General features: G+C 48.2%; 2 protein-coding genes across 17 annotated transcripts in view, besides 6 other annotated features; both read left to right on the top strand.

Moving 5' to 3' along the window:
- Nucleotides 1–14,134, top strand: part of ARF3 (ARF GTPase 3) — a 21,765-nt gene extending 7,631 nt beyond the window's left edge. For 11 of the 12 annotated variants that reach the window (NM_001659.3, NM_001412926.1, NM_001412918.1 and 8 more), the window contains 4 exons: nt 8,669–8,909; nt 9,750–9,860; nt 10,078–10,202; nt 10,749–14,134. In NM_001659.3, the coding sequence (NP_001650.1) occupies nt 8,762–8,909; nt 9,750–9,860; nt 10,078–10,202; nt 10,749–10,910 (546 nt within the window). In that variant the 5' untranslated portion in view covers nt 8,669–8,761 and the 3' untranslated portion in view covers nt 10,911–14,134. The remainder of the gene's footprint in view (nt 1–8,668; nt 8,910–9,749; nt 9,861–10,077; nt 10,203–10,748) is intronic. The other variant, NM_001412932.1, reaches the window with a different exon arrangement.
- Nucleotides 1,825–2,417: an enhancer, noted in NCBI's record as "H3K27ac-H3K4me1 hESC enhancer chr12:49341223-49341815 (GRCh37/hg19 assembly coordinates)". NCBI's record gives its function as "activates a minimal SCP1, AML or CMV promoter by ChIP-STARR-seq in primed H9 embryonic stem cells {active_cell/tissue: H9 hESC(primed)}" and the evidence as "EXISTENCE:reporter gene assay evidence [ECO:0000049][PMID:30033119]".
- Nucleotides 2,436–2,649: a silencer, noted in NCBI's record as "fragment chr12:49340991-49341204 (GRCh37/hg19 assembly coordinates)". NCBI's record gives its function as "represses an EF-1alpha promoter that drives an FKBP-Casp9 reporter gene in an ReSE screen in K562 erythroleukemia cells {active_cell/tissue: K562}" and the evidence as "EXISTENCE:reporter gene assay evidence [ECO:0000049][PMID:32094911]".
- Nucleotides 4,598–5,098: an enhancer, noted in NCBI's record as "H3K4me1 hESC enhancer chr12:49338542-49339042 (GRCh37/hg19 assembly coordinates)". NCBI's record gives its function as "activates a minimal SCP1, AML or CMV promoter by ChIP-STARR-seq in naive H9 embryonic stem cells {active_cell/tissue: H9 hESC(naive)}" and the evidence as "EXISTENCE:reporter gene assay evidence [ECO:0000049][PMID:30033119]".
- Nucleotides 10,823–27,894, top strand: FKBP11 (FKBP prolyl isomerase 11). Of its 5 annotated transcripts, XM_047428939.1 has the most exons (7): nt 10,823–14,203; nt 19,255–19,258; nt 24,735–25,083; nt 25,209–25,296; nt 25,601–25,634; nt 26,005–26,075; nt 27,656–27,894. In XM_047428939.1, exons 1-7 carry the CDS (start codon nt 14,119–14,121, stop codon nt 27,871–27,873), a joined length of 849 nt encoding a protein of 282 aa, XP_047284895.1. In that variant the 5' UTR covers nt 10,823–14,118; the 3' UTR covers nt 27,874–27,894. The 5 variants fall into 5 exon arrangements, with proteins under 5 accessions (XP_047284895.1, NP_057678.1, XP_047284896.1 ...); NM_016594.3 differs by lacking the exons at nt 10,823–14,203; nt 19,255–19,258 and adding an exon at nt 24,365–24,557 and having other exon boundaries at nt 24,746–24,811; XM_047428940.1 differs by lacking the exons at nt 10,823–14,203; nt 19,255–19,258 and adding an exon at nt 24,365–24,557 and having other exon boundaries at nt 24,746–25,083.
- Nucleotides 13,179–13,368: a silencer, noted in NCBI's record as "silent region_4415". NCBI's record gives its function as "represses an Ori minimal core promoter by ATAC-STARR-seq in GM12878 lymphoblastoid cells {active_cell/tissue: GM12878}" and the evidence as "EXISTENCE:reporter gene assay evidence [ECO:0000049][PMID:35858748]".
- Nucleotides 24,000–24,099: an enhancer, noted in NCBI's record as "active region_6296". NCBI's record gives its function as "activates an Ori minimal core promoter by ATAC-STARR-seq in GM12878 lymphoblastoid cells {active_cell/tissue: GM12878}" and the evidence as "EXISTENCE:reporter gene assay evidence [ECO:0000049][PMID:35858748]".
- Nucleotides 25,360–25,419: an enhancer, noted in NCBI's record as "active region_6295". NCBI's record gives its function as "activates an Ori minimal core promoter by ATAC-STARR-seq in GM12878 lymphoblastoid cells {active_cell/tissue: GM12878}" and the evidence as "EXISTENCE:reporter gene assay evidence [ECO:0000049][PMID:35858748]".

Raw genomic sequence — 27,894 nt, 5'->3', positions numbered from 1 at the left:
CTAAGATTGAGGGGCCAGGCACAATGGCTCATGCCTGTCATCTCAGTACTTTGGGAGGCTGAGGTGGGAGGACTGCTTGAGGTCAGGAGTTCGAGACCAGCCTGGGTAACATAGCAAGACCTTGTCTCTACAAAAAAACTTTAAAAATTAGCCAGGCATGGTGATGCACACCTGTAGTTCTAGCTACTTGGGAGGTTGAGGTGGGAGGATCTCTTGAGCCCAGGAGATGGAGGCTGCAGTGAGCCATGATCATGCCACTGCACTCTAGTCTGAGTGGTAGAGTGAGACTCTGTTTCTAAAAACAACAGTAATAATAAAAACAAACATGTTCAGGCCAGGTGCAGTGGCTCATGCCTGTAATCCCAGCACTTTGGGAGGCCGAGGTGGGTGGATCATGAGGTCAAGAGATCGAGACCATTCTGGCCAACATGGTGAAACCCCGTCTCTACTAAAAATACAAAAAATTAGCTGGGTGTAGTGGCGGGCGCCTGTAGTCCCAGCTACTCGGGAGGCTGAGGCAGGAGAATGGTGTGAACCCGGGAGGCAGAGCTTGCAGTGAGCCGAGATCGCGCCACTGCACTGCAACCCGGGCGACAGAGCGAGACTCTGTCTCAGACAACAACAACAACAAACAAACAAACATACATATTCACCTTCAGATCTGTTCCTCTTGTATTTTCTTTCTGAAGAAATGCCACCCAGCCCTAGGCCAGAAACCTGGGAATCATCTTTGATTATTCTACTCTTCTGCGTACATTTAAGCACTCATTAAATCCTGTGGATTCTACCATTTTGATGTTTCAAATCTGTCCTCTTCTCTCTATCTCCACTTGTAGTTGACAACTTGCGATTTCTCACCTGTATTACTATACCTCCTAAGCAGTGTCTGTGCCTCCAGTCTTTCCCCTTTCTAATTTACTCCTGAAACTTCTAAAGCACATACCTGATCACGTTACTCAGCATGGCCTTTAAAGCCCTTCATGATCCAGTCCCTGCTTATCTCTCCAGCCCCATCCCTCATCATTTTCTTTCTTTCTTTTTTTTTTGAGACCGAGTCTCACTCTGTCACCTAAGCTGGAGTGCAGTGATGTGATCTTGGCTCACTGCAACCCCTGCTTCCTGGGTTCAAGCAATTCTCCTGCCTCAGCACCCTGAGTAGCTGGGATTGCAGGCCCACACCATCACACCCGGCTAATTTTTCTATTTTTAGTAGAGACGGGGTTTTACCATGTTGGCCAGGCTGATCTTGATCTTCTGACCTTGTGATCCGCCCACCTCGGCCTCCCAAAGTGCTGGGATTACAGGCGTGAGCTACCACACCTTGCCTGTACTCTTCACTTTAGGAGGCTGAGACTGGAGGATCGTTTGAAGTCAGAAGTTCGAGACCAACCTGGTCAACAAAGTGAGACTCTATCTCTACCAAAAATAAAAATAAAAAAGTTAGCTGCGTCACGATGATTTGGGCCCGTAGGTCTTTTTAGCTACTGGGGAAGCTGAGGCAGTAGGATTGTTTGAGCCCAGGATTTGGATGCTGCAGTGAGCCTGGGTGACAGAGTGAGACCTCATCTCTTTAAAAAAAAAAAAAAGATTATATAAATTTTTTTAAAGTGCTATCTGAAACTTAGGTCTTTTTTTCTTTTTCTTTTTTTTGAGACATATTCTCTCACTCTGTCACCTGGGCTGGAGTGCAGTGGCGTGATCATGGCTCACTGCAGCCACAACTTCCTGGGCTCAGGTGATTCTCTTGTCTCAGCCTCCTGAGTAGTTGGGACTACAGGCGTGCACCACCACACCCAGCTTTTTTTTTTTTTTTTGTAGCGATGGGCTTTTGCCATGTTGCCCAGGCTGGCCTTGAACTCCTGGCCTCAGGCAATCTTCTTGCATCAGCCTCCCAAAGTGCTGGGATTACAGGTGTGTCCTGCTGTGCCTGGCTCAGTCTTTATGCCTTTGCACACACTTCCCCTGCCCAACTCCCTCTTTATTGTCTGATTACTTCCTCGTCTTCCTTTAGGAGCCAGCTCAGGTATGACCTGAGAATTAGGTTTCAGAATCACCCTTTACCCTTCAGTGTTGATTTACTGCTCCAGCTTTCTGTTCACATAATACTATGTGCTTTACTCTTACTCTCACACTGTTTTGTAGTCCTGTCTTCACTAGTCTTTTCCATTAAAGACTGAGTTTCATGAAGGCAGAAACTGTCTCCCTCTCTGTATCCCTAGTTCAGTATGCCCAATAAATGTTTGATGAATGAGGCCAGGCACGGTGGCCCACGCCTGTAATCCCAGCACTTTGGGGGGCAGAGGTGGGCAGATCACAAGGTCAGGAGATCAAGACCATCCTGGTTAACATGGTGAAATCCTGTCTCTACTAAAAATGCAAAAAATTAGCCAGGTGTGGTGGCATGCGCCTGTAGTCCCATCTACTCGGGAGGCTGAGGCAGGAGAATCGCTTGAACTTGGGAGGCGGAGGTTGCAGTGAGCCGAGATTGCGCCACTGCACCCCAGCCTGGGCGAGAGAGCGAGATTGTCTCAAAAAAAAAAAAAAAAAAAAAGTTTGATGAATGGATGAAAGCTGGTATCAGAAGCTATTTCTTAACTTTGGGAAATCTTTAAGTCTAGTCGAAATAGTTCAGATATCATCTAGGAGTTCTTATGTTCTGATTTCAGTGCTCTTGAGACAAAAACTTGGAGTTTACACAGGTCACGAGCCAGCTGCACCAAGAAAACTCAGTACGGGCGTACTCTGCTTTTGTTTCTTTAAATTGTATTGGTCTGTTTGGTTAGCTGTGCTAAAAATAGCATCTCTTAGTGATATTTCAATTTGAAAATTATCTAAGAACAAAGCTGTTTTTACTGCACTCTGCCTGGCAGCAGAGGGTTTGGGAGACCCTGGTCTTCCTTCCCCTGGACGCTGAAGAGGAGGAGGTAGTGCCAGATCAGGAGTCCCCTCAGAGGTGTCTCATAGCACATTCTTGGATCATTCACTGGAATCAGGTAGAGGGAGTATGTGTGGCCGACTGGGATGTGTGACTCTCAAAAGCACCTGGAGATTGAGGCAGGCACGTTCCTGCAACATATGTAAGGAAAGATGGCTGAGTAGCCAGTTACAGCAACAGCCTGCTTCTCCTGGGGGGATGAGGTGGGAGCAGTGAGTTGTCCTCAAGTGAGGATATCCTTAGATGAGGCTTAAATCAACTGATGTGCTTAACTGAATTCCTACAGTGTCCCACACAGATTGTACTAGAGCACATATTTGGGTTCCTATTGTTATTTTTACCTGTGATAATAAAGTTTCTGACTGTAAAACAGAACCTGCAGATATCTTTTTAACAGAGATGTTAGTATATTCCATTTTTCATCTTGAGCCACTCACTTTCAGTCTTAACTGCTTATTCTTGGTATCCAACAGCCAATGGAACCCTGGCATTTTGCCCTATAAACACAGGAGTACCATCTGTGGTGAAAGAGAGTAACTATAGGCTATATAATACATGGAGAAACAATTCATGGTTTGTTTGCTTTGCCATTCTGCTTCCTAGTGCTTTTTTAGGAATGTATTGTGAAAGTGAGAATAGGCTGTATAGCCAGAGATTTGTATTCATGGCACAAAGCAGAAAGCTGCTACCATCTTGGTGGTAGGGCAGCATGCTCTCTGGTATTAGCAAGGGACAGGGAAAACCAAGACAAGAAAGCCAGCATCCCCTTTGAAATGCTCATTTAAGTCAAGCTCCAGATTATACTTAAAGAAAAGTCATGGCCAGACGTGGTGGGTCGTGCCTGTAATCCCAGCACTTCAGGAGGCCAAGGCAGGTGGATTGCTTGAGGCCAGGAGTTTGAGACCAGCCTGGCCAGCATGGCAAAACCCCGTCTCTACTAAAAATATAAAAATTAGCAAGGCATGGTGGCACATGCCTGTAATCCCAGCTACTCGGGAGGCTGAGGCACAAGAATCACTTGAACTTGGGAGGCAGAAGTTGCAGTGAGCAACCTCTGCCTCTGCACTCCAGCCTGGGTGACAGAGCGAGACTGTCTCAAAAAAAATAAATAAATAAAGAGGAGGAGTCATAACATCCATTAGTTTCAAGGTCCTGGGCTGTGCCAGGGAGATACATGATAGCTACTGGATATTTATTTTTTGAGATGGAGTCTCAGTGTTACACAGGCTGGAGTGCAGTGGCGTGATCTCGGCTCACTGCAACCTCTGCTTCCTGGGTTCAAGCGATTCTCCTGCCTGAGCCTCTGGAGTAGCTGGTGCTACAAGCATGTACCACCACGCCCAGCTAATTTTTTTTTTTGAGACAGAGTCTTGCTGTTGTCTGCCCGGGCTGGAGTGTGATGGCATGATATCGACTCGCTGCAACCTCCACCTCCCAGGTTCCAGCAATTCTCCTGCCTCAGCCTCCCGAGTAGCCACCACACCCGGCTAATTTTTTTGTATTTTTAGCAGAGACAGGGTTTCACTGTATTAGCCAGGATGGTCTCGATCTCCTGACCTCGTGTTCCGCCCGCCTTGGCCTCCCAGAGTGCTGGGATTACAGGTGTGAGCCACCGCACCCGGCCAATTTTTGGGTTTTTAATAGAGACGGGGTTTCACCATGTTGGCCAGGCTGGTCTCGAACTCCTGACCTCAGGTGATCCACCCACCTCAGCCTCCCAAAGTGCTGGGATTACAGGCGTGAGCCACTGTGCCCGGCCTTTTTTTTTTTTTTTTTTTTTTAAGACAGAGTCTTCCTCTGTCAACCAGGCTGGAGTGCCAGCGGCATGATCTCAGCTCACTGTAACCTCTGCCTCCTGGATTCCAGCGGTTCTCCTGCCTCGGCTTCCTGAGTACAGGCGCGCACCACCATGCCCAGCTAATTTTTATATTTTTAATAGAGATGGGGCTTCACCATGTTGGCCAGGCTGGTGTCAAACTCCCAGCCTCAGGTGATACGCCCACCTCAGCCTCCCAAAGTGCTGGGATTACAGGCATGAGCCACCATGCCTGGCCAGCTATTTAGATATTTTATCAGTTATTCATCAGTCCCACTGTATATTAAATGGCAAGAGAGAATCCCACCAATTCTAGTCTTCTAGTCCTTTTATGTTGTTCCCAAACCAGTCCTGCGTCAAATATGTGTGGAAAATGGCTGAGAATGGACAGGATAGCTAAGCAACTCGCTGTGCATTACACAGAGATACCAAATCCTACTGGACAGAAGAAATAATATAAGGACATCCTCAGATGAGGCTTAAATCAGCCAATGTGCTTAATTGAACTCCCACAATCTACTTGGCACTAGAGGGAGGACAGATTCAAAATAAGTAGACATAGTCTTTGCACATAGGGAATACACAGCTTAACGTGGGAAGCAGTAAATACACAGACTTATAAAAGAAGAAAAACTCGACAAGGTAGTAAGTGCCACATTGAGTGGTTAAGGTCATTCAAAGTAAGGCCTTGATGTGGCATGCCAGGAAATAATAGGTGTAACACTGGGATCAGCTTTTGAACCAGGACTTCAGCATGACAGCCGAGCAAAGAAGCAAATCAAAGGACAGTGTACCTGTGTTCTGGGGCAAGGCATATTGGCTAGTTATATCTTTTTCAGCCACCACTATACTCACAGTTGGTAAGCATTTAATCAGCAATAGTTTCAGTCATAAAGGACAGCAAGATAAATGTGTGGCATAAATTTAATTCAGAATCTGGGCCAAAGCCTGATACCAAACCTTTAAAGCAAAGTGTCATCTGGAGCTGAAGGAAAGGCTGCCTGAGCAAGAGGCAGAATAAAGGCTAGAAGACTAGGAAGACTTGGGAAAGGTTTAAATTTCATGAGGTGTTAGTAGTATGACCAAAAGTCACTACTACAAATTGCCAAGGTTGGTGAGAGCTGTTCTTAGCTGGGTAGGTCGCTCAGGGGTCCTCAGGAGTCTGTCCACCTGGGTGGGTTGAGGCAGGAAGAGTAGGGAGGAAGGCTAGCGGGTGGCTTGACTGAAGTTGAACCCTAAGGTTGAGCTAGCCCTTCTTCCTGGTGTGTGAACCCTCTAGGTCAGGGGTAGGGCTCATCTGGGGAACCTACTGAGAGTGCCACGCCTGGCTCATTAGTGGCTGTCTGGGGAGGCCTTTTGAAGATGAAACACTTCATAAGCACTCATTGTTTCTGTTTTTTCGGACAAACTAGTACTTTGGTCTTCAGGGACTGTTGATCTGGCTCAGTTGCACTAGTCTGGAATTTGCTGCAAACTGAGAAGGGTGGTGGGGGAAATGTCAGAAGTTTTTGTAAAAACAACCAAACTCCCACCAAACCCCCATGCGTTAGCTTGTAAATAGGATTCCTCCCCGTCCACCTTTCACATTCTTGGGTTTGGGCGCACTTTGTCTTGACCTGTCCCTTTGGCTGCTGAGTTTGGGGTGTGTGTGTGTCTCTGGTTCCCAGACTCTAGAGAATGCCAGCAGCTGGCATATGGTGATTGCTGAATAAGCTGCCCGCTGACACATGCCTCCTGCAGGCACAGAGAACTGGTTTGTATGGGTGATTCTGAATCCTCATTTTATTATTGTTTCAAAGATGCATTTCTGTGGCTATCCTGTGCCATAGAGAAGAGAGGGAAGAAGAAAGGGAATGAATGAATGAATCTGATTCTGTCTGTTGGGGCAATGGCTGGGGTGAGCAGATAGACATTTTATACCTTCATAATGATTCTTTTGGTCCTGTTCATCCTTTCAGCAGGTATTTGTTGTTGTTATTACTATTATTATTATTATTTTGAGATGGATTCTCGCCCTGTCACCCAGGCTGGAGCGCAGTGGCGTGATCTCGGCTCACTGCAACCTCCACCTTCCAGGTTCAAGTGATTCTCCTGCCTCAACGTTCCGAGTAGCTGGGACTACAGGAGTGTGCCACCATGCCCGGCTAGTTTTTGTATTTTTAGTAGAGATGGGGTTTTACCATGTTGGCTAGGCTGTTCTCAAACTCCTGACCTCAGGTGATCCACCCGCCTGGGCCTCCCAAAGTGCTGGGATTACAGGCGTGAGCCACTGCGCTCGGCCTCAGCAGGTATTTGTTATGTGCCTACCATATGCCAGGCATAGCATCCAGTCTGAGTGAGCTTTCAGTAAAGTCAGTAGAGACCCTGGGGATTAGTTCAGTTTTTGAAGTACTGTGTGCTAGGCACTATTCTTGGTACTGGAGACAGAGCAGTGAACAAAACACATAAGGAGCTGATATCTTAGGCAGAATAAAACAATCAGCAAGAAATAAATATATAATGTATCAGATGGTGATAAATGTTGTGAAGAAAAGTAAAGTGGGATAAATGGGGTAGGGAGTGGTGTGTGTCTGTGTGTGTGTGTTATACATGTGGTTGTGGGAGGCCTCTTTGGTAGGTGACATTGAAACAGACAACTAACTGAAGGAGGTGAAGGAGTAATCTATGATGGTTATCTGGAAGAGAAGCATTCCAGGCAGAGGTGATAGCAAATATGAAAGCTTTGGGCCAGGCATGGTGGCTCATGCTTGTAATCCCAGTGCCCTGGGAGGCTAAGGCAGGAGGATTGCTTGAACCCAGGAGTTTGGGACCAGCCTGGGCAACACGGTAAGACCTCGCCTCTTTAAAAAAAAAAAAAAAAAGCTTTGAGGCAGGAAAGGAAAGTGTTGGGGAATTGGAGTGGAGTAAGCAAAGAGAGAGTAGTAGATCTCATGAGAGAAGTAGGGGAGTGTAGGTCTTGTAGGACCTTGTAAGCCATGGTTTGGGCCTTGGGTTTTACTGAAAAGGAGCTATGAAGCCACGAGTGGGTTTTGAACAAAGGACTCATATGACCTGAGTTTGGTTTTAAAACCACCCTAGATGCTATATGGAGAATAGGCCGAAAGGCTTAGGGAAGAAGCAGAGAACCAATGAGATGACTGCCTCATTGCAGCGACCATGTGGGACAGCCCCCTCCTTGGATGGGCCACAGTAAGCCAAGGATGCACCTAGCTGAGGAGTAAAGGGGTAGCCCCGCCATACCCCACCTCTCTACTGCCAGTGCACTGTTGTTTGAACAGGGCACAACATTAGCAGCTGGCATTCCACAGAGTGTAAAGGATCGGCTTCTTTTAAGAGTGCGGCTTTCTTATTCCTCCTTTATTTTGGTGTGGAAGAAAGATGGAGTTGCAAAAATATAGGAAGGGAAGAGGCAGAGTCTCTTGATTAAAGGAGAAAGCATAAACCTTGGGAAACTGGCAAGCCTGAACCTTGTCAGGAGTCACAGAGAGCCACTCCTTATTCCGCTCCCTCCTCTCCCACCCTTGCCAGAAGTCTCAGGGTAAGTAAGGTTAGGGGAGGGAGGGGCATTAATGATCTTACAATGCCTTTGGGTATAGGGTAGAATGTCAGAACTGAAGGGACTTCAGAAATCATCTAGTTCAATCCCCCTTCCATTTACAGGTGCAGATATGGAAAAGTGAAGTAACTTGCCCAGAGTCACATGGTTAGATTACTGGCAGAGCAGGGATCCTTAGTGTTTACTGCTTTGTCTCTGTTCCCAAAGACTCAGTATGTATCTGAGTGGGCCTTGGTATTTATAGTCCCCTCAGGCTCTCCGTTTGTCATGAATGAACTCTAGCCATGACCTTGGGAAATTCTATTTACTTGGAAGTCCTGACAAGCAAATGATGGTATGATTTTACATTTCCTTTGTCTAGGATCAAGTCTTCCATACCAGGGACCAGGCCAAAACCAGACTGCCACTGCCCCTACTTGGGCCCCACTGTCCCCAGAAAGCAGCTGCTGTGATCATGGGCAATATCTTTGGAAACCTTCTCAAGAGCCTGATTGGGAAGAAGGAGATGCGCATCCTGATGGTGGGCCTGGATGCCGCAGGAAAGACCACCATCCTATACAAGCTGAAACTCGGGGAGATCGTCACCACCATCCCTACCATTGGTAAGAGCACAGCTTGGATGTGGGCTTTCACGCCGGCAGCTGAGGCAGGGCAGGGACCTATTCCTGGTTCCCCAACCTGGCCTCTTCTCCCCAGGCAAGTCCATACAATTTGTGGGGTTCAGAAAAGAGGGTGGTGTTGTTTAGCTTACTACCAGGTGCTGAGGCTGCTGTTTGCCCACCTAACCTGGCTCTCCCTGATGCGGGAACTTCCATGGCCTGGCACTCAACAGCTGCCCTCAGGCACGGAGTTGGTTTCTTCTCTGTGTTGTTTGGAAAGCAGGTAAAAGGCTTTGATGTTCCTGCCAAAGGCTTGGAATTACTTGGGTTTAGATCTTTGGTGGCCAATCTTGGTTACAGTTTGCTGAAGGGAGGTCTCCCTACATTTGCTATGTAGATGGGGGCTCCAGTCAGCATTGTCAGCTGGCTCTGCCTTTGGGGCTCCAGGATGCCAGCTTACTTCCCTTTCTTCACTCTGCCTCTCAGGCCCCACATCTTAGCTGAGGCCGACTCTGGTAGCCAAAGTACCAGAGCAGGGCTGAGTCATTTTGTAGGAGGGAGCACCAAAGACTGAGTGGAAAAGTCAGGAAAGTTGGCCCACGTTACCCAGGCAACTGTGAACCTCTCAACCAACTTCCTCATCCTCTTTGACTTCTCTTAGGTTTTCATTTTGGCCTTCAGGCTGCTAGCTTAACGATTATCAGGTCTGAGGAAGCCTTAGCTTTTGTTCCATTGTTGGTGTTATGGCCACCACTGGGGGAAAGCAGAACCAAACTCATTGTGGTGGTGTTTGCGGGGCTAGTGTTTGAGGCCAAGTGGCCATTGCCTGTTTTTTTTCCAAAGGGTTCAATGTGGAGACAGTGGAGTATAAGAACATCAGCTTTACAGTGTGGGATGTGGGTGGCCAGGACAAGATTCGACCCCTCTGGAGACACTACTTCCAGAACACCCAAGGTATGCTCAGGCCTAGCGTGGGTTGGTTGGGTATGAGCAGAGAGTGTGGCTGTCTTTGTTAATGGGTGGCCAACTGTTACCCTGCTGCAGCTCCTGGGGGCAGAAGAAAGGGAGGAAAGGGAGCAAATATTTGGAGGGTGTCAGGCAGGTGTGGTCTTTTGGTTGGGGGGAGGGGGTTACCTGTCATCTTAGTGCAGCCCATGCTCTGCCTTCCTAGGGTTGATATTTGTGGTCGACAGCAATGATCGGGAGCGAGTAAATGAGGCCCGGGAAGAGCTGATGAGAATGCTGGCGGAGGACGAGCTCCGGGATGCTGTACTCCTTGTCTTTGCAAACAAACAGGTGAGACTTCTTCCCACCCCTGAATTTGGGAGACAGCAAACTGGCTGTGGAAATTGTTGGCTCTTGGGCCTATTATATGGTTAACCCTTTTAGTATGCTCTCAATGTTAGAAGCGTGGGAAACTGAGCACTTGGCTTCTTTATGCCCCTCTTCTTGTGCCCCACCCCAAGCTTTATTTAGCAACATTTCAGTCCTCAGGAATTGTCTCAAATCTTTCTTTCATCTTGCCTGTTATCTACTTTAGGAGAATTGGCCTCACTCCTGCTGTCAGACAGACCTGATTCTTTGGTCAGTCTGAATCACGTCTCTTGCTTCCCCACCATCCTCGTATTTGGTTTCCAATTCTTCAGTACAGTGACCTCTAGTGCTTTGGATCTTGAGTTCTAGGTGACTAAATCCAAAGTAGCTCCTTAGGATCTTGTTCTGGGTTTCCTAAAATAAAGGAGGAGGGGAAGGTGCTGGTACACATTTCTTTGGTAGATGGGTGTTCTAGAAGCCTTTAAAAAATCCTGAGGCTTCTTTTTATGTGTCTCCCACGTGCTCCAGGATCTGCCTAATGCTATGAACGCTGCTGAGATCACAGACAAGCTGGGCCTGCATTCCCTTCGTCACCGTAACTGGTACATTCAGGCCACCTGTGCCACCAGCGGGGACGGGCTGTACGAAGGCCTGGACTGGCTGGCCAATCAGCTCAAAAACAAGAAGTGAAAGCCAGACAGCCCTAACAAAGCACCCCACCCACCCCTGACATACCTACTGTCACCCTGCCCCAGTCCTACCCCTTCCTCTCCATGCAAGTGTGGCCAGGGCCCTGGGTATCATGTCCACATGCCCAGCAAGAGCCTTGCCTCCCCTGCCTCCCCTCCTTTTTCCTGTCCACCTATATGACCAATCCCTAATTGCTGTCCTGATGATGAGTCATTCCAATTTACTGGATTTAAAACAAAAAGTTGTTACGGTTTCATGGGGTGGCCCCTCTCTCTCTCACCCTCTGGGTTTCGGGAGGTCGAGTGGGGTATTCTCTTTGTTTGGCAGTGGTTGCTGTCCTCTTGGCATCTGAGTCCTTTCCCTGTCCCCACAAGCCCTTCTACTCCCTGTTTGCCTTTCCTTTGCCACCCTCTCCCTGTTTTACATGGAAATTGCACGGGCCTCTCTGTGTTTGCGTGCATGTGTGCGCCTGTATATACATGTATAGAGAGATATATTTGTGGGGGCCGGGGGGAGCGGGGAGGGGGTGGAGTGAAGCTCAGGGCTTGCAGCCAGGACACTGCCCACTGGAGCCTGTCATCTGCCCCTTCCGTGTTGGTGAGATTAAGGGAAGAAGGTGGGAGGGCATTAGTCAAGCCGGACTGCCCCAGTCTTTGACTGGTTACCCTCCTCTCTGCAGGTAGGTTTTTCTGGATGATAGGACAGATGATGGATTCTTCACCACCATTTTCCTTGTACTCTTCTCTCCACCCTTCTTAGGGCTGGAGGATGGCATTTATCTCTAGATGACTGTTCCCAAGGAGATGCCACTCTGCTCTGCCTTACTGTTGGGAAGGAGAGAGGAACCCACTCACTCTTATCAGCTTAGAGTGTTCAACTGATCCTTCCCCACCATCTTCAGATCTGTTCCTCTGGAGCTTGACTGGGGGGTGGGGATGGCAAGTCCATGGTGTGTGTTAGGGACCCAGGGCATTGGGGGAAGGGAGGCGAAGGCCTGAGGTTTTCCATCTTCATTCTCTTTTGTTATTAGGAGAAGGTGAGGCATGGGCCAATCCCATTCCTGCCTTCCAGTGCCCCACCACCCTTCTGATCTTAGGGGTTGGATGGGTCATCTGTCCTTGGTCAGAATTTTCTCACCCTAGTACTCCTACTGGCCTGACCAGGGCTGACTGGGTATTCTAATGAGGAGCTGGGAAGTGGGGTGACATAGCTGACCTTAGTATCAACCCCCCTCTTCTCCAACTCTTGTTTTCTAGTCCAGGATATGCTAAAGGACGAAGATTTTCTATTGTTTCCAGGCCCTCAGACCATCCTTGCTGTCCCTTCACCCTCCATGCCCCTGCCATCCTCACTCACTTCTCATAAATGGATCTGGGGGTTAGAGTGGAGGAAATAAAATCCTGAAGTGGTTGTCAGTGCTTGTGGGATGCAGTGGTCTTCAGGATTCTCCCCGCATTATTATGTAGTTGTTCAGAAGCTGTTGCTACTGCGTCTCTCTGTCTGCAGGGGGCACTTGTTCCTGAGGTCCTCGCCTGGGTCCTGACTTCTGTAGTTTCTGTGAAGACGTGGCTGTCCTGTGGGCTCCTGTGTGTGCTGGCTGCGCCCTGAGCTCCGAGACAGCTGCCCATAACCTGCTAAGGTCAGGGCCCAGGGCCCCCCACAGCATGGCTGAGGGACCCCTTCCCAGTAGGGCTGTCCCAAGCCCCACTCCATGGGGCCAGGTTTCCTGGCCACTTTTGTTGATAGCAGATGGATCAATATTAGTAACCCCATCCAAGATTGAACTGTGAAAGAGAGGTTCCAGGGGTATCTCCCTCAGTGCCAGTTACTTAGTGATGTGTTACCCAGGATGCAGCAGGTGTGTGCAGGTATCTTGCTCTCTAGGCCTGTGTGTGTGTGTGAGTGTGTGTGTATATGGGTGTGGGTGTGTTTGTGTGTGGTGGTTGTGGGGGGGGTGTTGGAGGTTCTATTTCATTTAAAAATGTATTCATTTCCCTGGCCCCACAGATGCTTCCCTCCATACTTTTTATTTGCTCTGTTTCCTCAGATTTATTTTGTCTTGCCCCATTGCCTCTCCTTCCTTGAACTCTTTCCTTTTCAATCTCAACTCATTCACTGCTGTTGCTCATTTGCCCTTTTCCATGTATTTTTTCCTACTTAGGATTTTCCACTCTATCTTTGTGGTTCATGAGGACTTTGCCTCTTCTCCTGCCTCATTCCCTGACTTTCTCTAGTTAGATGTCAGTCCTAAATAGGTTTTCCTCACTTCAGGCCTCACCCCTCACCTTGTTTTTTTGGGGGCTCCAGGGACCAATCTGGGGCTGGAAATGTTAGGAGGTTGCCTTGGTGCTGCCCCAGATCTGTCCAGCAGGGGGCAGTAAGTGATCTTGGTAGTATCCCTGGCTGCTAAGCCCTTGGCAGGGGTGGTCCTTTCTACATTCCCATTCACTTAACAGCTCTTTTGGGATTGGGTGTTTCATTCCATTTCTGCCCACTCCCTCTCCTCTCCTCTCTGGTAGGTTTAATTTTATGCTTTCCCTGATTCCAGCTTTCTGCTTCCTGAGGACTCCCGCTCCCCCCACCCCAAAGTTTGTCTGTGGTGTTATAGTGGTAACTGCAGTTCCTCCTCTGGAATGTAGACTGTATATGTTTAATAACTCACCTTCTCTATCCTTGCTCAAAATGTGGGATAACGCGATGACTGTGACCCTGGTTGGAAATTAAACTTGTTTTATGCAGCTTTGGAGCCGACCTTCATCTTTGCTGTGCAGCAGCCGTGGGACAGTAGTTTCATGGTGAGGGGAGTCCTGTTTCTGGTCCCTCTCTCCATAGTGCTCCTTCTTTCAGCAAAGGGGTAAAAGGCACACTTGATTGATAGAGAGTAAGGTTATGGAGGAACTTAGTGCCACTCCACACTGGTTATTTCTTCCCATCATACCCCGCGGCGGGGGAGCCCAAATGAATTGGGCATCAGAGTGTGAGGGCTTCGTGACTTTCCTCCTCTAGTTCTAAAGGGTTTAAACCTGAAATCAGCTGTATTTCTCACCTGTTGGTAGACTGTATGGACTTCACTGGCTGAAGGGCCCTGAACTTGGAGGGCCCCATGTGCCTCTACTCTCAGATCTCCTCAGCCTTGCACATGAGGTGCTTCTAGTTTGAACAGAGACCCCCTCACTAGTCTAGTTCTGGACTTTGGCAGTGAATAAACATGAAGGATAAACGTCTGGGCAGTGTAATGACCTTAATCCTTCTTACAACTGATGGCCCTGCATCAGCTCTACTTCAGGCGTGTGGTTTTTCATTGTCAGGATGCCAAGCCTCATCCAGAGATCCCACAAATGTCTTGAGGAATAGACCTTTTCCATAAAGCCTCCATCCTCCCATCGCACTCCCACCACTATTCTGTTCCTCCCCTGCTACCAGTGTCTGGCTCCAGGCAAAGAAAGGGATGGTGCTACCTTTAGGGTGGGTGAGGTCTGGGTGAGCCAGGCAAGCCTTCCCCAATCTTAATATTTTCTTAAGCTTTGAGGACAGAGGTCTTCCCAGCCTGCTTTTGTGGGAAAGGGATAGGATTTAGGCATATAATAAGTTTGAGAGCCCCAAGTACCAGTGTGAAGCATATAATTTATATTCAGTTACTTCCCTGCTGCCTCCCCTGCCAATTTTCCTTTTCAGCACTTCTATTATTAATAGGCCATCACCCTCAAGGACCAGTGCTTCCACCCATATATAACTCTCAAACTACTCCAACCAGACATGTCTTATCAATCCCAATGACTTTGAACATTACCCACCTACTCCTCAAGATCAGATGACACTTTCCTCCTTCCAGGCTTCTCCAAAGTTCTGCTTGGTGACAGGGTGCTGATAAGAGTATCTTTCCCAAGTGTTTTCTTTCTTCTTCTTCTTTTTTTTTTTTTTTTTTTTTGAGACGGAATTTGGTCTTGTTGCCCAGGCTGGAGGGCAATGGCACGATATCGGCTCACCACAGCCTCTCCTCCTGGGCTCCCGGGTTCAAGCAATTCTCCTGCTTCAGCCTCCTGAGGAGCTGGGATTACAGGCATGCGCCACCACACCCGGCTAATTTTGTATTTTTAGTAGAGATGGGTTTCTCCATGTTAGTGAGACTGGTCTTGAACTCCTGACCTCAGGTGATCTGCCCACCTCAGCCTCCCAAAGTGCTAGGATTACAGGCGTGAGCCACCACGCCCGGCCAGGTGTTTTATTTCTATATTAGCAAATAGATATCTTTCAGAGCTACAACCTCTCATAATGATAAGGGAGAGGACTTTAGCTGAATGGTGGGCCACTGGGGGGTCTTTGGACCCCTGAACAACTTGGGGAAGAGGATGACCTATTCCCATCTGTCCCTTAGTACTCAATTTAGAATGCCAGGAAGGAAGTAGAGGGGAGCCCTCTTGTGGCAGTTGCTGAAGCCTTCCAGTTCTTTTGAGGGGATAGGGGATGAAGAGGAGACTGAACCTGGGAGGTAGATACTTAGCACCCAGCTCTTAGGACAAACAGCAATCCCATCTTCCAGAACATGCATAGCATCAGTCATGGACTGGCGGAAGACTTGGACCCAGGGTCCACTTCAGGATAATCTGGGCAAGGGAGCTTCCCAAATGAGCCTGTAGAAAGCCAGTGGAAGGGCTTAGGTTGGCTAAGGTGGGATGGAGGGCAAAACCCTCCCCTTCATTGCAGAGTATAGGGGCAGTGGCAGAGAATGAATGTATGTGTGGGTTTCTCAGCCTTGAGGTATAAGGTCTAAAGGCTCTGGGGATTCACTGCATACACCACTTCCAGTTCAAGCGCCTAGGTTGGTTACAGCAGGAAGTTGACAAGTATGTATTTAGTACATTCGATGTTTTTAGGCATCTGCTAAAAGTAGGTCAAACCACTGAACTCAGGGAGGGGGCTGGGGATCCATTTCTAGGATGCTGTGGAATCCTTTTGGGACATCTGTAGTATACCACGTTGGGTAGTGAGAGTTGGGGGACACCCCTTCCATTGCTGCTGCTTAGTGTAGGGAGTCATGTCTTTGGGCAGCAGTAATATTATTAAGAAAAGCTTTTTTTTTTTTTGAGACACAGTCTCTGTCACCCAGGCCGGAATGCAGTGGCGTGATCTCGGCTCACTGTAACCTCTGCCTCCCAGGTTCAAGCGATTCTTGTGCCTCAGCCTTTTCCGAGTTGCTGGGATTATGAGTGCACACCACAACTCCCTGCTAATTTTTTTTTTTTTTTTTGAGACGGAGTCTCACTCTTGCCCAAGCTGGAGTGCAATGGCGTGATCTCGGCTCACTGCAACCTCTGCCTCTCAGGTTCAAGCAATTCTCCTGCCTCAGCCTCCGAGTAGCTGGGACTACAGGTATGTGCCACCATGCCCAGCTGATTTTTCTATTTTTAGTAGAGATGGGGTTTCACCATGTTGGCCAGGCTGGTCTTGAACTTGTGACCTCAAGTGATTCGCCCACCTTGGCCTCCCAAAGCACTGGGATTACAGGCATGAGCCACCGTGCCTGGCAGAAAAGCTTCTTTTCCAGTTCTGAAGAGTGTGAAGGTAGGAGAGCCAGAATTCAGTTCTCTCACTTTCCAACCCAGTACCTGGAGAGAGAGTGTCTTGCTGGTCACTGGGGAGTGATAGGATCCGGATGCCCGCCTTCCTCTTCAAGTTTTTCTTTCTGATTGGGTTTCCTGACCCTGATTGCTGGTATGGGTAAGAATGACTCTGAATTCCTGAGAAAAGGGAAGAGGGTTAGGACAGAGGAAATGGAATCATTTAGTCAGGTAAAGGGAGCAAAGCCACCGAAGGCAGTGGTTGGAGGTGTAGATGTGAGGAAGTTGGGTTGAGACCATTCACCATCAAGGCTTGAAGATGAGTGTCTGTTTGTGTGTGTCATGTTGGCTGTGAGTTGCAGAAGAGAGTATCTGGCCTCTAGTTGAGGAGCACTTCCGGCTTCTGAGCTGAACATGGTGTAGAAGAGAGGATACTCAATCCAAAACCCTGGCTATCTATGCAGAGGGCTGACCAGTTCTACCCATGTACCCTTCCTTCCCTCACCCTTCCTCACAAACCAGGCATATTGAGAGCTGTCTGGCAGTCAATCCAGGCGAGGCAGCAGGTTTGAGAATGGGCTTGTCCGCCTGGCACCTGCTTCCCCCCACTTCCACCTTCACCCCTCCATCCCATATATCGTTCAGGGTCCTCCCAGCACAGAATTGAATAGAAGGACTTTTAAGGCTTGGAGGGCTTAGCTTGGGGCTCTAACCCACAGGAATTCTTTCTGAGTTCTGAATATAGTAATAAAGGGCACTCTTGGCCTTAGGTTATAGATAGGAGATGGGGAATCTGTTCTTGTCTTTGCCAAATCTTGCATTTATGGGATGATACCTCTTTGATTAGAACAGCCATAGGGGAAGAGTGGAGGAAGTAAGTAAGTGCTTCATTCTTGGATGAATATATGCATAAACATACCTGAAAGAAAACATCTAGTCAGCTGGGGGTATGTATACCCTTGAAAATACAACACCAGGCCAGGCATGGTGGCTCAATTCTATAACCTCAACACTTTGGGAGGCTTAGGTGGGAGGATAGCTTGAGCCCAGGAGTTTGAGATCAACCTGGGCAACATGGTGAGGCCCCATCTCTATAAGAAAAAAAAAAAAAAAAAAAAAAAAAAAAATATATATATATATATATATATATATATATATATAAATATATGTTTATATGATATATATACAATTATATGTTTATATTATATATATATATATATTTTTACTTTTATTTAAAAAAAATAGAGATGGGATTTCACTATGTTGCCCAAGCTGGTTTCAAACTCCTGGGCTCAAGCAGTCCTCCCACCCCAGCCTCCCAAAGTGCTGGATTTACAGGCATGAGCCATTGTGCCCGGCCAAAAAAAAATGTTTTTAATTAGTTGGGCATGGTGGCACGTGCCTGTGGTCCCAGCTACTCAGGAGGCTGAGGCAGGAGGATTGCTTGAGCCTGAGAGATTGAGGCTGCAGTGAGCTGTGTTTGCGCCACCGCACTGGTGACACAGCAAGACCCTGTCTCAACCAAAATCAAATTTTAAACCCAAATTTATATATGCCAACTCAGGCTTTTACTTTATTAACAACCTGTTATAAATAAACACTTAAGAACATTTAAAGAGCAGTGTTCTGCTTATTCTTTGGCACATAATAGTCATGCAACCTTGATGAACAAATGGATGAATTAATAAACACCATTGTCTTTAATCAAGCTGGGCATGGTGGGTGCCCCATGAGTCTTGGAAGCCCAGGTACTGTGGTAGGGTTTCTCCTACACACTGACAGAGACACCTTTGAGTGTGGAGGCTTTTCTAGCAATGGTTCTGTGATTAAGTTGTATCTCCAGCCAGGGGTGGGCCAACTCTCCTATCTTTCCAAGAATCATCTCACCTTTCTCTGTTGTTTGGATTTCTTCTAACTTGATCCAAGGAAAAAGCTCCTTCTCTGGTCCCTCCAGGGTGCAGATGGGCTTGTGCTGCCTGTGGGTGGATATTGTGTTTAATAGTTTTGCCCTTTCCATTTCTACTACCACCTTCTCCTACTCCACTCCTCTTCCCCTTCAGGTTCCTGAACAGAGCCTCAGACCTGGATAAGACAATAGCCTTCCACCTTCACCACACTGTTCGAGTCTGCTGATACATCAGTGCAGTATGCTGTGTCATCCTTTTGCTTAGAAACTTGCAATGTGTTCCCACTGCCTTAGTCTGACATTCAAGGTTCTTCACAACTAGCCTTTTTTTTTTTTTTTTTTTTTTTTTTTTTTAAGCTGGAGTCTCGCTCTGTCGCCCAGGCTGGAGTGCAGTGGCGCGATCTCGGCTCACTGCAAGCTCCGCCTCCTGGGTTCACGCCATTCTCCTGCCTCAGCCTCCCGAGTAGCTGGGACTACAGGTACCCGCCACCACGCCTGGCTAATTTTTTGTAATTTTAGTAGAGACGGGGTTTCACCGTGTTAGCCAGGATGGGTCTCGATATCCTGACCTCGTGATCCGCCCGCCTCGGCCTCCCAAAGTGCTGGGATTACAGGCGTGAGCCACTGCACCCGGCCTACAACTAGCCCTTAATTCCCTCTCCAGCCACCTCTCTCTAGTCTCTGGCCAAATCCCTTACTTTAGCCAAATCAGTCCATTCATTTTTCCCAAACATCTGGCCCTCTGCCTTCACCTCCTTTCTCACTTGTTTAAAAATCCCACTCCAAGATCTAGCTCAAGTTTCACCTCCTCCACAAAGCTGCCTGTGCCCTCTGCAACTACAAGGACTTTTATAGTTTTTCCCCACGTTGGCTCCTTTAGCTCTGTTAGCACAACTCATTTAACACCTCCCACTCATTCCCTTGTATTGCTATATATCTTGTTTATTCGTGTAATATTTAATATTAAAAATTATTTTTATAACCTGAGAAGTAACATCTGAGCAGGAAAAAAATTATAACCAAAGTAATTTCTATTGTAAAAGATCCAAACAATACAAAAATATACAGAGCAACATGTGGGACATTGCCCTTACTCTTCTCTCTCCCATGCCCAAACGTAACCATCCTCAGCTATTTGATGTGCATCCTTCTAGTTCCTTTTTTAAATGTATGTGCTGACACATGTTTGTGGAGGGGTTAAAATATAAATGGGCTCATATCACATCTGTTATTCTGCTACTTGCTTTTTTACTTAGGGTATATATACATTTGTCTTAGAGATTTTCTATATTAGTGTAATTAGATCTCCTTTTAATGGCTTCTCAGTATTTCATAGTATAATTTCTTCAAAGTAAAACATACTGTCTAGAATCTATTATTTGGAGGCTATCGTGTAGCTAGTACTTAGCTCCAGACATGATTGCAACCTTGACCTTGCCATCAGTTAGCTGGCTCTTTGGGGGAGATAGGAAGGGAGGAATGGGGCATACACAAATAACTGCAACAAAAGGAAAAATATAATAATGTCCACAAGTGTATGCCTGGAGATCCTAGCTAAGAGAATCAGGACTTCACAGAGGAAATGATATTTGAGCTTAGCCTGGAGGGAGCTTGACAGGTAAAAGAAGTGTATGAGTTCAGGCACAGAGATGGAAACAGAAGATGTAGGTTTGTCTGATGCCAGACCACAGTCCATGAGCAGGAAGGGAATTTGGCTCAATTCACAAACATTTACTGAGCATTGATGTGTCAGACACTATACTAGCAATGAAGATTTAGAAATGAGAAACATGAGGTTCCTGTCTCTAAGAGGGATTCAGTTTAATGGAATAAAAGCCAAGTTTGGAAAAGCAGATTAGGGCTGGATGACAAGCTTTCAGTTGTCATGTCAAGGAGTTGGAATTTTATTCACGTGGGCAATGTGAAGCCATGGTAGGCTTTTTAGTGGGCAGATGATGGGACTGAAACTGTAGATAGCAGCAGTGTACACAGTGGTCCAAAGTAGGGAGAGGCTAGGGATCAGGGGCTTATTATTTTTTGAGACAAGGTCTCTGTCACCTAGGCTGGAGTGCAGTGGCGTGATCATGGCTTACTGCAGCCTTGACCTCCTGGACGCAAGTGATCCTCCCACCTTAGCCTCCTGAGTAGCTAAGACCACAGGTGCACACCACCATACCTAGCTAATCGTTAAATTATTTGTAGAGATAGGGTCTTGCCATGTTGCCCAGGCTGGTCTTGAACTCCTGGCCTCAAGCAATCCTCCTGCCTCAGCCTCCCAAAAATGTTGGGATTACAGGTGTGAGCCACCACACCAAGACTTTTTTTTTTCTTTTCTTAAACAAGATAGAAGTTTAAAGGCCGGGCGCGGTGGCTCACGCCTGTAATCCCAGCACTTTGGGAGGCCGAGGCAGGTGGATCTTGAGGTCAGGAGATCGAGACCATCCTGGCTAACAGTGAAACCCCGTCTCCACTAAAAAAAAAAAATACAAAAAGTTAGCTGGGCGTGATGGCGGGCGCCTGTAGTCCCAGCTACTTGGGAGGCTGAGGCAGGAGAATGGCGTGAACCCGGGAGGCGGAGCTTGCAGTGAGCCGAGATTGCACCACTGCACTACAGCCTGGGCAACAGAGTCAGACTCTGTCTCAAAAAAAAAAAAAAAAAAAAAAGATAGAAGTTTATTTCTGCCTCAGTTAAAAGGTGTCTGGGGGCCGTGCATGGTGGCTTACACCTGTGATCCCAGCACTTTGGGAGGCTGAGGCAGGCAGATCACTTGAGGTCAGGAGTTCAACACCGGCCTGGCCGACATGGTGAAACCCCATCTTTACTAAAAATACAAAATTAGCCTGGTGTGGTGGCACACACCTGTAGTCCCAGCTACTCTGGAGGCTGAAACAGGAGAATTGCCTGAACCTGGGAGGTGGAGGCTGCAGTGAGCCAAGATCACAGCATTACACTCCAGCCTGGGCAAGACAGAGTGAGACTTTGTCTCAAATAAATAGACAAATAATAAATACACAAAAATTAGCCAGATATGCTCGCTTGAACTCAGGAGGCGGAGGTTGCAGTGAGCCGAGATCATACCACTGCACTCCAGCCTAGGCAACAGAGCGAGACTCGGTCAAAAGAAAAAAAAAAAGGTGAGCTGGGCGTGGTGACTGATGCCTGTAATCCCAGCACTTTAAGAAGCCGAAGGGGGCAGATCACTTGACTCCAGGAGTTCGAGACCAGTCTGGGCAATATGGCGAAACCCCATCTCTACAAAAAATTTAAAAATTAGCCGGGTGTGGTGGCATGCCTCTGTGGTCCCAGCTACTTGGGAGGCTGAGGCAGGAAAATCACTTGAGCCCAGGAGGCAGAGGTTGCAGTGAGCCAAGATTACACAACTATACTCCAGCCTGGATGACAGAGACCCCCATCTCAAAAAAAAAAAAAAAAAAAAAAGGTATCTGGCAGCTGGTCTGAAGATAGGCATCTCAATTGTTCACGGCCAGTTACAGATTGAACTACTCTTTCCCCCTTCTCACTACTGCACTTGACTAGTCTTTTTTTTTTCCCCCACAAAGAATGGGGCTTCAGATAGAACTGAAAAATAAAAGTGTCTGGTGGTAGGCAATCCAGAGCTGGCATGGTGGCTCTGCAATTAACAAGGACTTATGCTTCTTTTTGCTTCACCATCCTAGCGTGCAGCTTCCATCCTCATGGTCATCTCATGGTCTAATATGGCTTCTAGAGCTTAATTCATCTCATCTGCATTCCAGATAGCAGACAGAAGGAAGGAAAGATGATTAGGGGGAGAGAGAGCAGCACAGAAGGACGCTTTCTAGTTAACTCTTTAAAGGGCCTTCTTGGAAGTCCAGGACAATACTTCCAACACTTCTGTTTATGTTCTCTTGGCCAGAACTTAGTCAACTGGCCATATCCAGCTTTAAGGGAGACTTGGAGTTTTGTGGTTTTTTTGTTTAACTTAAAAAATATCTTGATACGTAATTCGCAAACAGTGAAATGCACAGATTGTAAGTATACAGTTTGATAAGTTCTGACAAATGCATACACCCATGTAACCCACATCCTTCTGAAAATATAGAGCATTTCATCACCCCTAGAAATTCCCTCCTGCTGAGGGGACTTTTTTTTTTTAAACAATACAAATGAGAGATAATGAAGGCTTCTTATCCTGAGGTGGGAGGGTTGTAGCTATGGGAATGGAAGGGAAGAGCTGGAGAGACTTTGGAAGGAGAATCCAGAGTAGACCCGTTGGATGTGGGAGATGAGAGAAGAACGAATGCTGGTAGCAGAGCCACTAACAGAAACAGGAGATAGGGAGGAAGTCTAGGTTGTTGCAGGTGGATTGGAAGAATGAGTACAGTTAAGACTGTTGGCTGGGCGCATTGGCTCACGCCTGTAATCCCAGCACTTCGGGATGCTGAGGCTGGCGGATCACGAGGTCAGCAGTTTGAGAGCAGTCTGGCCAACATGGCGAAACCCCATCTCTACTAAAAATACAAAAATTAGCCAGGCGTGGTGGTGGGTGCCTATAATCCCAGCTACTCGGGAGGCTGAGAGAAAAGAATCGCTTGAACCCGGGAGGTGGAGGTTGCAGTGAGCCAAGATCGTGCCATTGCACTCCAGCCTGGGCGACAAGAGTGAAACTCCGTCTCAACAAACAACAACAACAAAAACTTTTAAAAAGTGGGCTGGGCGTGGTGGCTCATACCTGTAATCCCAGCACTTTGGAAGGCCGAGGTGGGTGGATCACTTGAGGTTGGGAATTCGAGACCAGCCTGACAGACATGGAGAAACCCTGTCTTTACTAAAAATTCAAAATCAGCTGGGCATGGTGGCGCATGCCTGTAGTCCCAGCTACTCGGGAGCAGAGGTTGCGGTGAGCCAAGATCGCGCCATTGCACTCCAGCCTGGGCAACAGGAGCAAAACTCCTCCCCCTCAAAAAAAAAAAAAAAAAAAGAAATCTGGTGGCTCACGCCTGTAATCCTAGCACTTTGAGAGACCGAGGCAGGCGGATCACCTGACATCAGGAGTTTGAGACCAGCCTGGCCAACATGGTGAAACCCCTTATCTACTAAAAATACAAAAATTAGCCGGGCGTGGTGGCGGGTGTAATCCCAGCTACTTGGGAGGCTGAGGCAGGAGAATCGCTTGAACCTGGGAGGCGGAGGTTGCAGTGAGTGGAGATGGCACCACTGCACTCCAGCCTGGGCCACAGAGCGAGACTCCATCTCAAAAAAAAAAAAAAAAAAAAAAGTGAAGTCTTTACATAAATGGATTACGTGTGCTGCCCTTTGAGAAGTTTGTTGATGAAAGGAGAAAGGAAATAGTAGCACCAGAGGAAAAGATCAGGGATTTACCCTGTTCTTACAGGATAACAGCTCCTTGCTCTTTTCAGCTAGCTTTTCAAAGGACAGGGATAGGACAGCCCCCTGCCTTATTTCGGATACTTGGATCTATAACCTCCAGAAATTCAAGCTGAAGTAGCTGGAGGTCGGAGAGGAATGAGAACTGCCTGGGTGGGGTCTGCCAGCCAGACACTGCCAGGATAGCCACAAGGAGACGACTTGGAAGAACAGACAGCAACCACGTTGGACTCAGGCAGTCCTGGGTTTGAATCCTGTCTCTGTCACCACCTAGCCTGATGACCTTGGGCACATCCTGAGCACCCTGTGCCTTATCTGTAAAATGGAAACAATCATGCCGACCTTTCAGGGTGGTTTTGAGGATTAGAGACTAGCTCCTGACACACAGTAGGTAATCGTAAATGGGTGCTATTGTTTGGCCCGACCCACGTTATAGGACAGAACGTCTAACGGATGCGTCAGAACCTGCGCCCTCCGGATCTTGGAGGGTACAGAGGGCGCCCCTCGGCCTCCTCCCTTTCGGAGGTGGGGACAAGGTGGAGGAAGGGCTGCAGGAGGAGGAGCTCTAGCATCGCGACCCGCCCCGTCCCGTCCAGTCTGGCCTGGGCGCCGCGGGAACGCTGTCCTGGCTGCCGCCACCCGAACAGCCTGTCCTGGTGCCCCGGCTCCCTGCCCCGCGCCCAGTCATGACCCTGCGCCCCTCACTCCTCCCGCTCCATCTGCTGCTGCTGCTGCTGCTCAGTGCGGCGGTGTGCCGGGCTGAGGCTGGGCTCGAAACCGAAAGTCCCGTCCGGACCCTCCAAGTGGAGACCCTGGTGAGGAGATAGTCCCGACCCTCAGCCCCCGTGGGCCGAGCCTTGTTGGGTGGTAATACTGGGGTCTCAGCGAACCTGGGAGCCGGGAGGAGAGGAAGTGCGGGAACTGAGTTGGGGGTGGTGCCGGGTCTAGGGGCGAGAACGGGATCTTTGGAAGAGCATCCGTGACCCCTGTAGTCCGATCGTAGGTGGAGCCCCCAGAACCATGTGCCGAGCCCGCTGCTTTTGGAGACACGCTTCACATACACTACACGGTGAGGGGTCTGGGGGGCCGGGGCGGGGCCTGGGAGGGGGCGGCGCCCTGCTGAAACACGTCAGCTTTGGCTTGGACACGTGGCAAGCGGTTCGGGAGAAGAAACTCGGGGCTCTGGGGTCGTCGAGCACGTGGCGAGGGGAGAGACGTTGCTCTTCCGTGCCTCTTTTCCCTCCTTGCTTTTCTGCCAGTTCCTACCTGGCACGGAGAAGTGCAGGGTGGAGAGATCTCCGAGAAGCGCCAGCCTTCTGGGGCTTCCTGTTCCTTACAGCGGTAAGGGGAACGCTAGGCTGCCGCACTAAGGGGGCTGCCGCCGCCCAGCGGTCCAGGTGTGTGTTGCGCGCCTGCTGGGAGGGAGAGGGTGCTAGATGTATGCTCTTGATGCTCTCTCCCCCCAGGGAAGCTTGGTAGATGGACGTATTATTGACACCTCCCTGACCAGAGACCCTCTGGTTATAGAACTTGGCCAAAAGCAGGTGATTCCAGGTATGTGACCTGTGCCTCCCATTCCACCTCTTCCCAACCTAAGCCCTTTCTTAGCCTCTTCGGCTCCAAAGCTGCCCTGGAAATCCCCCCTGAAATGAGTAAGACCCTAGGGCTCTACGAGTTACCTCCTGAGGTTCAAACCTCACTTCTAGTACTCCACTTGTCCCATATCCTATTGGAAGCCAGAGATTTAAGAAGTGAGGGAAAGGTCAATTGAGGATGGAGGAGGAAGACTTTGATCTTCATGTCATGGGATTTGGGGAAGGTGGATAGCTTCCAGTTCAGTTGTGTCTTCTTCTTCAAGGTCTGGAGCAGAGTCTTCTCGACATGTGTGTGGGGTGAGTATCTCGGCAGGGGTGGGCCTGGGTACCCCCTTTGCATGGGTAGAGGCTTTCTCGGCCATCCTCACTCCTTAAGCAGGAGAATGTGGAATAAAGGACCCTGCTTCCCACTGGACAGGTCCAGGTCAGTGGGACCTCTGAGGGCATTCAAAGCCTCTGTGCCTCTTGCGCTGTTGCTTTTGTCGGGGGAGTTGAGGCACATGGGGAGATGGACACCTTTGCTGGCCAGCCTGTTTGGTGTTCAGGTGGAAAAATTCGTGTTTTGGGTGTGAAGATTCAGGGGGTTTTGCTGAAGGAGCTTCAGCTGGACTGAGGCTGCTGGCCTACCTCTCCTGCCTCTGGCTGTGACTGACATTCCTTCCCTCAGAGAGAAGCGAAGGGCAATCATTCCTTCTCACTTGGCCTATGGAAAACGGGGATTTCCACCATCTGTCCCAGGTAATCTGACTAGGACTCTCTCTCAGGCCATCAAAATACCCAGTCCCTAAGAGCTATAAGGAGCTATATACTTTGTTTGATGCTTGAGAAGATCCAGACCAAGTTTGTTTAGACAGATAGGAGTGGCTGGGGCCTCCATCTACAGGGCCACCTTTTTCCTCCTCATATCACCAACAGGGACTAAAGACAACCTGATGAGGCCACCTGGCATGACCTCCAGCAGCCAGTAACTTGTTAGGGAAGAGACCTGCTTGGGCCACATGGGTCTGCTGCCTGTGCCACCACCTTTCCCAGAACACTGGACTTCTTTCCTGCCCTTTTCTACAACTCTACGCTGTGTCAGCTGTACAGCCACCCCCCACCCCTTCCTTTCAGCCTCCATCAGGGAAGAGACAGTAAAAATAATCACAGTCAAGTGATTCAAAACAAAACAAAAAGCAACTGTTAAAGCCAAGTCTGCCCCATAACTTTAAAAGCCATCATTGGTCACTGCCGATGTCTATTTTTGAAGGGTTGAGATGGACAGATTTCCCAAGATGCATATCTTTTGCTTTCAGTTCTAACAAATGTTCTATTAGCTAAAATGTGTTGTACTCCACAGAGTATTGGGCTCGTAATTCTTTTTTTTTTTTTGAGATGGAGTTTCACTCTTGTTGCCCAGGCTGGAGTGCAATAGTGCAATCTTCACTCACCACAACCTCCGCCACCCGGGTTCAAGCAATTCTCCTGTCTCAGCCTCCCGAGTAGCTGGGATTACAGGCATGCGCCACCACGACCGGCTAATTTTATACTTTTAGTAGAGATGGGGCTTCTCCATGTTGGCCAGGCTGGTCTCAAACTCCCAACCTCAGGTGATCCGCCTGCCTTGGCTTCCCAAAGTGCGGGGATTACAGGCATGAGCCACCGCGCCTGGCTGGGCTCGTTAATTCTTATCCTAGTTCCAGCTTAGAGGAAGGCCTGGAAGGAGGGTAGGGGGACCAAGGAGAAACTTTTACCCAAAGCCCTATTACCTCCCCATTCCCAGTGCTGCTTATTTGTACCTCTTCTGCCCACTCATTTCTGTTCCACCTGCCCCTTTACTTCTTAAGCAGCATCCTCATCCTTCTTCCTCTTCAGCTCTTATGTTGAAACTCCTGTTATCTCATAATCACGTTGAATGTGCTCATTGGTTGGTTGATTTTTTAAAGTCTAGTTTAAATCCATTTAATTTCAGCCCTGCAAAGACTCTATCCGTGTGGTTATTTGGAAATACGATAAATTAGTAGTTAGTATAGAGGGTTCTCCCACTTACAAATGGAGAAGAGCCTGTACATTTCATATTCACAGAAAGTTTTCCTGCATTCAAAGACTTGTCACTGGACCCAAGCCACATGTGTAGTTGGGGTCAACATGATTATCACTGGACTCTGCTCGTAAATCCTCCTCTACTCTTGTCTAAAGGAATTCAAGCCCACATTTAAATCTTGTCAGCTTCATAGTTGTTGGCTTTGCTGTGGCCTACGCTCCCTATTTTCATTCAGATTCTGAGCCCTGGATAAAATGCAGAGAGTCTAACCCTCTCCACCCCTCTGCCTCTCCAGCGGATGCAGTGGTGCAGTATGACGTGGAGCTGATTGCACTAATCCGAGCCAACTACTGGCTAAAGCTGGTGAAGGGCATTTTGCCTCTGGTAGGGATGGCCATGGTGCCAGCCCTCCTGGGCCTCATTGGGTATCACCTATACAGAAAGGCCAATAGACCCAAAGTCTCCAAAAAGAAGCTCAAGGAAGAGAAACGAAACAAGAGCAAAAAGAAATAATAAATAATAAATTTTAAAAAA

This window comes from Homo sapiens, chromosome 12 (genome assembly GCF_000001405.40).
Source record: "Homo sapiens chromosome 12, GRCh38.p14 Primary Assembly".
In the NCBI taxonomy this organism is placed as follows: domain Eukaryota; kingdom Metazoa; phylum Chordata; class Mammalia; order Primates; family Hominidae; genus Homo; species Homo sapiens.
Note: the sequence above shows the minus strand (reverse complement) of the source record. Positions and strands in the feature narration are given on the sequence as shown.